The following is a 13,895-nucleotide window of genomic DNA, read 5'->3' on the forward strand; positions in this document are numbered from 1 at the left end:
CTAATTCACATTCCCACCAATGGACTATAAGCATCCCTTTCTCCACAACCACGCCAACATCTGTTGTTTTTTTACTTTTTAAAAATAGCCATTCTGAGTGGTCTAAGATGATATTTCGGTGTGGTTTTCCTTTTATCTCTTGAGCACAGGTTCTACGAGCACAGGCGGAGTTCTGTGGTGCTGAACTTACCTGGACTTGAGGTGTTCCCCGGGGACCTTCTGGTGTCAGATGGAGCTGCTGATTACCTATGCCATCCACTTCTGCTGCTGAATTCAGGTTCTGTTCATTCAGTATACTTTCATTCCATGCCCACTGTGGAACAGATATTGCCATAACCAGGGGGAATTTTCAAAATATTGAATAATTAGTAGAATATATGCACTGACCTGTTACAATCAGCCTCACCAATTACAACGGGCACCAGCTGTTACTGGAATTACGGGAACCAGCTGAGTACCAGTCTTGGTATTGGGCATTCCATTTACAGAGATGAATAAGGTATGGTTCTTCCCTTAAAATGTCTTCTGGCCAAATGTCTTATCCCAGGCCCAAGACCTGAGACAGGTGCAGCATCCTAGATCAGAGTGCCCTCTCTAGGCTGGTGAGTAGCTTCCCCATTATTGCTGTCATGTTCATCTCCCACCCCACTCCTGGGCTTCAGCCTCACACTGATATCTTCCAACCAGGGTGGTACCATGGGGAGGCAGAGGTGCCGGTGGCAGATGAGTGTCTGATAGACAGGCAGCTTTAGGGATAAAGCGTCTGCATCTTCATCTCATTTGTGAAATAAAAGAACAATTAGGGTCTTCAGAGTGTTTTCTTCAAGATTCTGGGGATAGGTAAATCAAAGCCTTTGAGAGCTAAGAGGAGACTTAAGGATTATCCATGCTGGTGGTTTTTAAACTGGTTTAGTTCTTAGCAGAGTCCTTTTTACAAAAGAATCCTTGCTTGGAAATCCAATGTATAAAACAAATCCAGGTGAAGTTGCAATGCTTGCAGCTGAGATGAGCCCCAAAGACTCACCTCCAAGGCATCCCCAGGAGTCTCAGACACCCAACAAAACAGTTTAAAAACCACCAGGGTCATCCCTCATTCACATATGTGTGAGTGAGACCCAGAAAGGAGAAGTGGCCTAGTCATGGGGTCAGCTGGTTTGTGCAGAGAAATGGAATCAAGGCTCCTGACTGTGAGTCCAGTGCCCTCTCTACCAGTCTGCATCTGTTATCATCTGTCATCTATTGTATGGGCAGCTGCAGTCTCCTGTACGTGGAGCCCAGGACCACCAGTGAATACATCATAACTAACATGTTTATAGCTCTTTATTTTTACAGAGCCTTTCACATCTACTTACTGTCTTATATGATACAGTAATCCAAGTGAACAAACCAAGAGGGATTAAGTGATCTGCTTGAGGACATGCCCCTAGAAATCTGAGCTAGTTCTAAACACAATGTGGCCTTAACAGAGGTTACTACATTTTAAGAGGCTTTAGAATGCTGTCAATTAGTTAACAACTACAACAGTGGTTCTCAAAGGCTGTCCCGAACTAGCAGCTTTGCCATCACCTGAGAAGTTGTTAGAAATGCAGATTCCAGGCTGCCCACCCCCAAGACCTTCTGAATCAGAAACTCTGGGGGTGGTGTCCAGCAGTCTGTTAGTCCATTTTGTTTGTTGTGGTGGTGGTGGTGGTTGTTGTTTGAGACAGAGTCTCACTCTGTGGCCACCACCACGCCTGGCTAATTTTTTTGTACTTTTAGTAGAGACGAAGTTTCAACATATTGGTCAGGGTGGTGTCGAACTCCTGACCTTAGGTAATCCACCTGCCTTGGCTTCCCAAGGTGCTGGGATTACAGGCGCAAGCCGCTGTGCCCAGCCAGCAGTCTTTTTTAACAAGTTCTGCAGGTGATTTTGATGCCGGCTACAGTTTGAGAACCACATGCTAAGGAACAAGTTCATCGCTGCTTCTACATCTCACTAGCTGTTATTTTTGTGTGTGCCTAGCATCGTGGTAGATACCACACAGCAAAAGATAAGCAGCCTCCTCCCTATACCCCTCTGCCCTCTTCTCAGGAGTTTAGAATAGAGGCCTCATGTTCCCAAGTCACGGTCTAAAGCAGTGCTGCTCACGCTTTGCTGTGCATATGAGTCACCTGCAGATATAGTTGAAATAAAGATTCTGGCTTAGCAAAATTGTATATTTAAGGCAGATAATGAAAGATTGTGGATTCAATAAGGACTCATGAATCTTCTGAATATTTACAAAGCTTTCCCAAGGCTCCAAAGCTAGAAAAGCACAGGAGAGAAATTGGCCAAGGATCAGGGACCCCAATTATTGCAGTTCAAATTGGATGTAATAATTTACTGCCAGGCATGTGAAATCTAAGTGTGGTGAAGCTGATTTGTGCCTAAGGGAGAGTCCACCTAATCTCTCTTTAATAAAGATCAATAAGCTGGTCAAAATGAATGAGAGGATAATCTGTTGGGCAGGTGCCTCCCAAGGTTACAGTGGGAAGGTGCCTTAAGCACATCCTTTGCAGTAAATGCTGCTCAGTTCATTGCTTCCCTTTGATTGAATTATTATGCACACTCTCCTGGGGGATCTGATAGAGAGAGAGATGGACGTATAAGACATCCATTTTGTATGCTGAATGGTCAGAACATGCCACCCACACCTAAGAGACAATTTTCAGCTTTGGCTAGGTAGCATTACAACTTTATGCAAACAGCATAAAATTCAAAAGGCTAGAATCCAATCGAATCTCTTTCCTTCCTGGTCTTCCAAATAATGAGGGATTGAATAACGGCTTCCTTCTCAAGTCAAAGCAACTCCTAGAAGATGGCCAGTAGCAAGAAGCCCCGACATGGGTGATGTTTTAATGTTCCCTATTTTGGGAGTCTTCATTTAACCACATCTGGGGATTATGAGTGAATGCAGTTTCCAAGTCTCCCATTTGCTCAAGCTATTGAAGTTTGCATGTGATGGGGGCGTTCTGGAAAGATGGTGTGAAAATGAAGGGCCTGTCCTTTTAGCCCCAGAGTGCTTTGGCTCCCTGTCTTAAATAAATTACTCAACATCTTCAGTACAGTTTATAGATTTCCTTTCAAGCAATGAGGAAAAAGAGTTTAAATAATACACCAGTAAAGAAACAGGACAGTACCACCTTAAGGCAGCAACAGAACACCAACTTTTAGGTTGCAACATTGTTTCATTCACTTGTCTGCAAAAATATAAATATTCATTTTGTGCATTCTCAAGAGAAAGAGAATTAAAGCAGGATGAATTCTGTTTGGCTAATTTTCAAAAAGCAGGTTTTGTAAAGCACTACGATGATCTGTCGCTAGTTACTCTAAGTACTCGTAATAATATATTGTCTTTAATTTCACCCAGAATCCAAAAAGCCAAGATGGCCTTTCTCCAAAAGAGGAGTGGTAAGTGTTGCAAATTGCCATTTTTGTTTTAATTAAGCTTCCTGTAGCTAAGAAAGTAAGAAATGGCTGAAGAGTCTCTTCATTCTGCTTTATCTTTGTATAAAGGCAGATGGCACGTGAAATATAAATGATATCATCACATCCGTAGTATTGGCTACGGAACATGCCAAGTGGTGCCAATTTGTGCAGCGAAACAGTGCTAATTGCCAGTGGTTAATTAGTTCTGCAAAAAAACACAAAGCAATCCTAATATAGTGATGCTTTACAACACTAAATTTATAACTTGCTGCTTAGAAAGCAGCTCACTCGATGAAGCAAACTTGCACAAATGTATGCCCCAGTTTGCAGTTAGTGTCGTGTATATTGGGAACATTGAAAAATGAATGAGATCTTACAGAAACAGATTCTGCAAATACACTTCTATTTCTGGGAAAGCCAATTGGATTAATCCTAGTGGGTTTAAATTCATTCTTGGCTCCATCAATAATTGACGAGTTATCCATCTCAATCAGCGGTCCCTGAGACTTTACTGCCTAAGACAAGGGTGGCCACAGTCAAGCCGTTCCTTCTGGCATGCTGTGGGAAGAGGGAGGGAATGTTCATGATGACAACCTGACTCCTGTTTTCTAGGGGGAGAAAAGGGACTGATTTGTGTTCTCCCAGCATTACTAGTTGCATTACTTACACACCACGACCAGCAGCAGCAGCGGGGCCTTATGGACTGTTACTATGCCTCATTCTGTTAAAAATCTGCCCACGTGGCCTTGCCAATCAGTTTGGCATCAGTTGCTGACATCTGCAGTGGTTCTATGGACACACACACCTTGCTATTTTTTAAGTCCCATCGCTAAATAAAAAGCCCTCTGAAGTTCTAATTCTAGCTGCTTCCCTTACTGCCCTATGACCTTGGCCAAATGGATTACTCTCCCTCAACTCAGATCTTCCCTATAAAAGGCAGAAGACCAGTGCCAGCCTCACAGGGTGATTGTAACGAATGCCGTATAATGCAAGTGGAGCCTACCCCAGAGCTGAGCACACACAGACGCTCAGTCAATCTTGGCCGTATCACTAGTAGTAGTATCTTTAATTAGGGTTTGGAAAACAACTTATTCTCATAGCCAAGTGTATGATTGACTTTCACTTTTTTTCCCAAAAATAAAACGTTTATATGGAACATACTGTAAACATTATGAGCTGCAAATCTTAAATTGTTAGTAAAATGGTAACACCATTGCCACCAGGGCTGTTGCTCATCAGTCATTTAGAGACGTGCTTTGTCTGTTTTTCTGACAGATCTGAGACAAGGCTTATGATGCAGCCCCTCCTGAGCTCTTTCTTCGAATAAACAGAGGCAGAGCTGGTCACCAATCACATCTGAGGTCTCAGGAGAAGGGGCATCTCCCCCCTAGCCCTCCCGAGGGCTTATCTAGGACAGGGAAGCTCTGAGGGCTGCCTGAGAGATAGAATATGCTTTCAGAAGGGAAGAACTTGGCCAAGGAAGGGACACTACTACAAGTTGTTGGGATTGATCCATTCTTTTCCCCAAAAAGAAGCAACTTGTTCTACACACATGTGTTGAGCAACTGGGCCAAGTACTGGGACAGATATCTAAGATGCCAAGATGTCCATTATCAGCTCACAATTGAGAAGATGGGACTGACAAGTAAACTGTGGGTGGCGGAGGAAAACATGCTAAATGGTTGGCACTATGTTGGAGGGAGGGAAGCAATGAGGGAGATACACAAAGGAAGAATAATTAGTGGACGTTTTCAGCAAATGTTTTCAGCAATGAAGAGAAAGTCATTTCTAGAAGCTTCACTTTCACAAGAACACAATATCTGTTTTCTTAAAATTAACGTCTTCTTCTTTCATTTATCCTCTTAGCCTTATTTATCATGTAATTCATATCTCTATAAATGGTAATCCACATCAATATAACAAACATACTTCTATGTTGTCATGTGCTTTTCCAATCTTTAGAGATTTTTCTTTTTCCTCCTTTTTTCCTTCCTTTCCTCCTTCCTTTCTTCCCTTCCTCCTTCCTTTCTTCCCAACCATCAATATAATATTAGTAATAAAAGCTAACACCTCTATAACGTTTAGCACATTACCAGGTACTGTTACTGTTTGCATGTATTCTTGTTTATGCATGTCAGTTAACACATGTGAACTCATAAATTCTACAACAATCCAACAAGGTAGGTAACATTATTACTTCTCATTTTGAAAATGGGGAAATGGATTCAGAGAGTTTGACTAGTTTGCCTGAGGACACACAGCTCATAAGCTATGGAGCATGCAGCAGTTCCAGGCAGTCTGGCTTTGAGTCTGTTCTACCCCTGATGTGGCCCTGTTCCTTCAACTGTAGGAGTCCCCATCACCAGACCTGGAAACTCCTCCCTCCATTCTCTCATTAGAGCTCTCCATAGATCTTGCCTTTTCTCATTGATTTGTCAACCACTCCAAAAATTTATATATTCAGTCTTAACCTTCAGTTTTGCTCCAGTTCCATGTCACCAATGACTACTGTACATCTTCATGCCACCTACCTCTTAGTTACTAAGTTTGAGACTCCAGAATTAACCTTGGCTTCTCGATTTCTTTACCCTGTGTATCCTCTCTCGTAACCTTCAAATGCTTCTCATTGCCTCTCCTAACCACTGCCACCACAATGGAGGCAAGAAGGTACTAAATGGGTGTGTCGTTTTCAAGAGTTAATGTGACCACTGGGAGAATGGTCTCCTCTCCCCTCACTGGAATACCCACCCAGCCATTTGGCCAGGAGGCTGGTCAAACCCATAGAAAGCCATGGTGAGTGCCCTTCAAAACACGGGGTTGGCACTCACTTTCCCACAACTCCAATGCTGCTTCCATTGTCTCAGCCTCTTTCTTTTCCAACTGGCTGCTGATTTTTTATTTCCACAACATGCAGTCACTATGGTTTCAGACATCAACAAAAGGCATATGTCCCAATTGCAGTAGGAGGTCTTTAACTGGTTCCAAGATTCCTTTGCTGCTGTGGAGGCTAATGAGTCTACAATAGGTTTCCTCTTTCAGTGCCATAACCCTACCAGAGAAACCAGCCACAGCCCATTAGCACATTCTGAAACTATGACACGGTCTCCTTTCAGCACACAGGGAGCCCCCTACCTGCAACAGCAGATAACCTGTGCCTTCTCTTGCTCCTGAAAAAAACATTGATTAACTTTCACAAAACTGTTTAGATCCATGCCAATATCGTGCACTCTGAGGCAATAGAACAAGTTGAAAAATTGTGATAAACATTCATTTGAAATGCAGCCAAGCTGACTTTTAAAAGCCTTGCACATTGTTATTTGATAGCTTCTTCCTGCTTTGGTTGGTAAAATGAACTCTTTAAGTGGGCAATTCATGATGTCGCAATAGAATAGTGAATGAACTAAAAAGAAAATGTTCACAATATAAGCTTAAAAAGCAAGTTGCAAAAGGATGTGTAAATATGGTACATTATACCATTTAAAAATTAATTATGAATATGATCAGAATACCATATTTCCAATGGGTATATAGGGGTGAAGACACATTTCATGCTTTTTTTTGTTTGTTTTTTCTCAAATTTTCTACAATAAACATATTATCTTAGAAATCAGATTTTTTAAACAAATATTATTAAGAAAAAATGACTATAACAAAAATAAGTGGGTGATTCCATTCTAAGGAAAATAGAGTTTCCAGCATATTCTGGTATTCTGTAGCAGAGAATTATTGTTTGGGGCAACTCGCTTGAACACTGGGCTTTATTTTGTCATCTGCTAAATTAAGGGTTGAACCAATATGTCTGAGGTACCTTCTGATGTTAATAAATCTTAGGGTCCAGAGTTTGGAAAAGTTAAGACTGTGAAGGCTATGTCACCCCAATGGGTAGGCATGATAAGACTGTTTGCTATATGACCATTCTGTGCCTAGGATTTTTTTTTTTTTAATTTGTAAAATGAGAGGTTTGGACAAGGTAGTCTCACGGGCCTGTGTCCCCCAGGTCTGACATTCTGTGGTTCTGCAGCTCCTACTAGAGCTCAGAAATGGCTTTGGAACTGTTAGTGGCTTAAAGACAAAATATGCCATCTCTTATCATGAATGTTAGGGAATGAACGAAAGATGCCAAGGCTACCGAAGTCATGTCATTAAAGAATCAATGTTTGAAAATCCTGTTTCTAACCATCTTCGAGCAGGGCAAAGACAAACACAAGCACATATCTGATCTGGAAAACTGCCTGTCCTCTGTGAAAATTACCAGCTTCAGGGGCTATGACTTCTACGGTCTTAAGGTATCTTTCAAACTGTTAACTATGGGGTTTGACTTTTTCTTTTCGTTTTTTGGTGGGGTGGGGAAGGTCGGGTCAGTATTTTAAGCTGCCAGATTACTGCCTTGTTTATAGTAAGAGCAAAATGCAAGAGAGGAACCCAGGACTGAGCAGGGCCTGCTCTCCTCAAACACACTGAAAGCTGGGGAAAGTCGTTTTATCTTAAATAAGGTAACAAATGTGAGAGCACTTCATAGGCCAGGAAGCCTCTACAAATGTTAAAAGTGGGTGTTACTACTCTTCGTCTCTCTGGGCCTGGATTTCCTCATTTGAAACGTTAAGTTGTTTTTGATAAGACAATTTCTAAAGGTCTCTTTGCACTCTAAAGCTCTCACTTCATGCTTCTTCAGTAGTTAATTTCAATAAGTTTTGCCAACGGAACCTGGAATCAGACTTCCCAGTCCTGGGTTTAGGGTTCTTTGAGTTTTTTTTGTCAATAAACTGAAAAAGACTCATGATATTCTCAAGCATAATTCAAAACATCATCAATCTGAATTGATTTGAATCTTAAACTAGAAATAATGCACATTGTGCATTTCATGCTGCATATTAGGAGGAATTGGCATCCCGGAGCCCCACAGAGAGAAGCTGTGGCTTGGGTCACTTGGGGAGTCACTGTCAAGAGGGATGCCCAGGGTCTGAAGCAGGAAATCATGATTTCGGGGGTTGCTTGGTCCTTTGGAACTGCAAGCCAAAGCAAATAGCCAACAGGTCAATCCACTGAGGTGGAAATGTTTTGTTCTCTCTTTTTCCCTCATGTACAGGATAAGACCTGGGATGAAGTCTTGGAAACACATCACAAACTCCCGACCGATCAATTAGACCTGAAAAAGCAGCAAGAGGCCGTGTGGGAACTTTTCACAAGTGAATGCACCTATTTTTTGGACCATTTATTAGTTCTTAAGATGGTAATGCCAGGCTTAATTTTTGTAGTAGATGGAAAATATTAATTTGTTTTTTTGGGCACTTGTTTTCCTCTTCTGAAAGAAATAAAGAAAAGAAAGAGAGAAAAGAAAGAAAGAGAAAGAGAGACAAAGAGAAAGAAAGGAAGGAAGGAAAGGAAGGAAGACAAGAAAAGAAAAAGAGAGAAAGAGAAGAAGAGGGAGGGAAGGAAGGAGGGAGGAAGGGAGGGAGGGAGGAAGGAAGGAAGGAAGGAAGGGAAAGAGAGGGAACGGGAGGCCAGGTGAGGCTTTTTTCTCCCTCTTTCAGGGGATCGTGAAAATTTTTATTTGTCATTTATTTTTGTTTACCTATTACTCTACTGTCTCTTTATACTTTAACATTGGATGAGATCGTCTAAGTGAACTAGTCCAGTGTCCCATCCGATGTTGAATGAATCTCTTCTGCCTTGTCTCACCAGTTTGCACACTCCTGAGCCAGGGAGCTTACACCCTTCTCAGGCAGTCCATTGCATCTTTGCTCGGCTTTCTCTCTCGGAGCTCTTGCTCCCTCGTGAACAGTACCAGGTGAATGCTTTTTATCAGCTGCAGGGCCACCATTGCAGATATAGGGGGCTACCACCCACATGCAATTTAGTACTGTTGAATTACATGGTATATTCATGATGTCTTTCATGTAAATAGCACCCCTATGGTCGCAGCCATGCTCTGGTGAGGCTCAGAACACAGAATTTTTTCTAGAAGAACAATAGAGCAAGGAAGAGAACCATAGAGCAGCTTCCTCCCAGGACCACAGGGGAGGATGGGCCACACAGCTCCCAAGGTTGCCTCTGCCCACCGCACTTTTGCATCCTGGTGACTGTCTTACACAGCCAAAAGGCACTGTGCTGGCAGATCTGAGTTCAAGCCCTGGCTCTGCCTCTGTTTTGCCTTGTGACCTTAGAAAAGTCTAGTCCTTCATACCCTAAACCAGGGGTTGACAAATCTTTTCTGCAGAGGTGCAGACAGTAAATATTTTGGGCTTTTCAGGCTATATAGTTTTTGTTGCAACCACTTAACTCTGCCATTGCAGTACAAAAGCAGCCTAAAGGAATGTGCATGACTGTCACCCAGAAAACATCATTTACAAAAACAGGTGGCAGGCCAGATTAAGCTCACAGGCTGCATACTTTGACAGTCCTTGTCCTAAGCTGTAAAAGAGAAATGACAATACCATCCCTGGCTATCTCATAAGACCATTATGATGATCAAATTAGTTTTCTTTGAAATCTATCAAGTGCTATACAAATGTCAGTTATTTTCTGTAAGTAATATTTTTTGTCAATCACAGTGCTAAATCCTTAACTTAGCAAAATGTGAACCGCAAAGACACTCTAGGAGAAAACTGAAATTTAGAGACAATATCAGTTAGGATGCTTACAAGAGCACGTAATAGAAAACTAGCTTAAATAATACAGGATTTTATTAGTCCATGTGACTGCAAAGTTCAGAGGTGGGAGAGAATTCAAGGCATGTTTGATCAAGGGCTCAAAACAAAACAAAACAAAACAAAACAACATTTCTTCCCATCTCTCACCCTGCCTTCCATGGCATTAGCCACATCCTATGGCTGGCTTCTCTTGTAGTCACAGCCTGGTTGCTATCCTTGAGCTAATGGCCAGAGAGAGAGAGAGATCTTCTCAGCATTCATAGCAGAAGTCTTGAGATTTATTCTGATTGGACTGGCTTAGATCACGTGCCCACCCGTGAGCCAAATCCTCTAGCTCTGTAAAGAAGGAATGTGCCAATTGGCTTAAGGCAGTCAAGGCCCACCCCTGGGAATGAGATCAGCTTGCCACATGGCACATGTGCAGCCTGGGGAAGAGTAGACACTGAGGTGAAAACCATGCTGTTTTTAGGGAAGGGGAGTATTGCAGGGGGTGGTAACAATAAATGTTCACCGCAGAGAACGAAGCCCCTGAGTTATGCCACCTTCCTTGTCCTAAGAAACTGCACAGAACTTTCTATCCCACTGTAAGCTGTCCAAGCTTTTCAAACTGACATTTCCTGTTTAAGAAAAGGCCAATTTGAGCTCACTGTCAAATACCTCAGTGTATTTAAAGTATATATGTACCTTCCTTTTACACAATCAATATGTTTTCCAAAAGTGCTTATGAATTAAAAATTTGTAACTCATATAATAAATATACTGGAAGACTCAGTATTTTTTTTAAATAGCAAAATTTCTGTAAAGCAAAGAATCTTATAGCAAAAGTAGTATTTCTTCCAAATTGTCCTAATCTATCTGTAGTAATGAGTTCTGTTTCTTACAATCATGTTTTAAATGCTTGGATATTGACAAATTTCCAGACAACCAATACTCCATGGATTTTAAAAGGTCTAAGTGGTTCTTGACAGGTGGCCTCTAGACCAGCAGCATCAGAATCCCTTGGTGACTTGTTGGAAATGCATGTTCTCAGACCCCGTCACAGATGAGGGTGGGGGCCCAGCAAGCTCTGGTGTAACAAAGTTGCCAGGTGATTCCGATGCAAGTTCAAGAACCACTCATTACACTAATGAAATAATACAGGAATAGGAATTGGAGAAGGTTATCTATCTAAAGCCCAGTCTTTTAACCCCTAAAATTCTTGAAATAATTTGTCCTTTTGTCCCTTTGAATGCTTCCTGTCTTATGTATACAAAGTATTTCTTTTTCAATAAATTGATCTCTCTTCAGTTTATAGAATGAAGGGCAGGCTATCTGTAAGTGAGGATTGTACTTTTTTTTGACTTGCTGTATAGTTCTCCAATTTGTGAAATCATCAAATTAAGTGAAAATAACATAAAAACTCCCTCAATGTTTTCATCCATGTTTAATGCCTCTAAACAAACTGAAACATTTTACCAGTTATCAGAGATTAACTCATTAAATATCTACTTTTAATTCCCTGAAAGTAAAGTATATTTGGGTCTTTTGCAGAAGAAAGAGCATATGAGAATACACCATGAATATTGTTTTGCTCTCAAGTTAGTAGTGTTGTTGGCAAGAAGAGAATCTTTGGGATTTCTTTGGCACTAGAAGTAGAGGAAGCCCATTTGGACAGATTATGTTCAATAGGAATGTTGTTAGAATTCACATAAGCAACCACAACTTTCATACTGAAAAGCTCATTTCCAATATGTTCTTTGAAGCTTAAATGTGACCATTTGTCTTGAGTATAACATTTAAACCTTGAGAGTGCTGATTTCTCCATTGTTTTGTAAAGTTACACCCAGGAGGTTTATGTTTAAAGTTCTTGCAAAAGGCATGTTGCAAAATTAAAAAACAGAAATTAATGTGTATATATTTTTTATTTCAAAGATCTTTATGAATACACTAAGATATCTGCAAACTCATGAATATCTCCTAGATGTGGATTTATGGAGACTTTTTGCAAACCTGGAGGAGTTAACTCAGGTGAGCCAAGTAGGAAGATTCATGTTTTAACATTCACTAGAGGACCATGAAAATTCATGCTTGGTCTGTTCTTATGGCTTGTATGCCATAATACATCTCCATATTCCATTCCCAGTCAGGACTTCAGGTTAATAAGAAAGAAGTTGAAATATCCATTATGCCTTTCCCATAAATTGTAGATATTAGTTACCCTTTATTTGTCATTTTTCCATGGCTATTTTAAAAAGTAAACACATTCCTAAGATCTCCATCATCTTCATAAATGTTTATTTTCAAATGAATATCCTCTTCTCGCATACATTATAAATAAATAATATTTTTCCTCTTAAAAGTAAAGGAAGAGAGATAACAAGAATTTATTTATAAGAAATACTTATAAGAAAATATATATTGGAGAGTGGAGGAAATAAATCTTTGAATTTTTCTAGGAGATATATTTGAAATGGGAAACACCTGTAAGAATGATACTTGAAGTTCAACAAATGTTTATTCCTTAACCCTGGGTGTGTGCCTATTTTTGTTTTCTTTCTCTCTGTCCCTAGACAAGCCTTGGTTTTGTGAACAGTCTCTTTGGCATCATCAAGGACTATGTAGACGCTTCTGAGATTTCCTCATCACTGGATTTTATTTCCGTGCTCACAAAGGTAAACTCCTTCTGGGAGACCTCAGCTTCATGTAGTAAAATCACCCACCTCCCAGGACAGTTGTTTATACCCTACTTGATTTTAATTCTCCCTGGGAAAGTTCTACCTCCACTCTCCTACAAAGGAACTGTCCCTTTCTCTGCCAGTCAACATTTTCAAAAATAACTTGCAGATTCTGTTTTCCCATTGCCACATCTCCTGTGTGGGTTTTATTAACACAGAAATCTGCATGCATAGAAAAGCCATTTCCAATTCTGTTTTTTAAGTGGCTTCAATTTAAAGCAACATTCACGGCAATAGTTTAGTGTTTGCTAATTACGTAATTCAGTTGTTTTAACGAAAGTACCAATTTCTCAGAAAGAAACAGAATAAACCTTCAAATCCATCAACACCCTTGATCATATTTCTGTGGGTGAAATGAGAAAAGAGGAAAACCTGTACCCCGGGTTTGATCAATGTTATTTATTTCTTGAGTAGACATTTGGACATCCTCCCCTACTTTTCTTACTTTGAGGTTTTTAATCTAATTTTAATCTAATTTCATTTAGCAAGATTTGAATTTTTACACTCCACTTTTTAAGAGAAAAAGATAGATTGAGATTTACTGAGAACCTCCCAAGTGCTATGTATGGAGCCAATACCCTGTACACAATAATATGAAAAATTAAACAAGCGCCTTGCTTTTAAGAAATTGTAAGTCTTGTAGGGGAGAAATTAATCCAATAATGACACTAATGATTATATAATCAAAGTAAGATAAATGCTGGGGAAAAGGAGTAACATAAATATAATGAGTGTCCAACAAAGGAAACCTTGTAAGTTGGGATGCATAGTAGGGCAGTCACAGATAGGAAATGCTTCCTGGGGATATGATGCTTGAGAAGATACATGAAGAAGGAAGAGTTTTAACAAGGCAAAAATAAGCTGCAAGATCCTTTAGTGAACATTGAAAATGGGCTTAAGTAAGAAAATCTTTGGATATTTTTGTTTGTTGTTTAGTTTTTTTTTTTTTTTAGACAGTCTCACTCTGTTGCCCAGGTTGGAGTGCAGTAGTGCGACTTCAGCTCACTGCAACCTCCACCTCCCAGGTTCAAGAGATTCTCATGCCTCAGCCTCCCAAGTAGCTGGGATTAAAAGCATGCACCA

At 40.5% G+C, this 13,895-nt stretch overlaps 1 protein-coding gene across 3 annotated transcripts in view; it reads left to right on the forward strand.

Moving 5' to 3' along the window:
- PLEKHG7 (pleckstrin homology and RhoGEF domain containing G7) overlaps nucleotides 1–13,895 on the forward strand; it is a 69,467-nt gene that overhangs the window by 25,855 nt on the left and 29,717 nt on the right. For 2 of the 3 annotated variants that reach the window (NM_001377329.1, XM_047428867.1), the window contains exons 4-9: nucleotides 150–277; nucleotides 3,390–3,430; nucleotides 7,639–7,734; nucleotides 8,535–8,678; nucleotides 12,010–12,105; nucleotides 12,648–12,749. In NM_001377329.1, coding sequence (NP_001364258.1) covers nucleotides 150–277; nucleotides 3,390–3,430; nucleotides 7,639–7,734; nucleotides 8,535–8,678; nucleotides 12,010–12,105; nucleotides 12,648–12,749 — 607 coding nt within the window. Of the gene's footprint in view, nucleotides 1–149; nucleotides 278–3,389; nucleotides 3,431–7,635; nucleotides 7,735–8,534; nucleotides 8,679–12,009; nucleotides 12,106–12,647; nucleotides 12,750–13,895 lie in introns of all 3 variants that reach the window. The other variant, XM_047428868.1, reaches the window with a different exon arrangement.

This window comes from Homo sapiens, chromosome 12, assembly GCF_000001405.40.
Source record: "Homo sapiens chromosome 12, GRCh38.p14 Primary Assembly".
Lineage (NCBI taxonomy): Eukaryota > Metazoa > Chordata > Mammalia > Primates > Hominidae > Homo > Homo sapiens.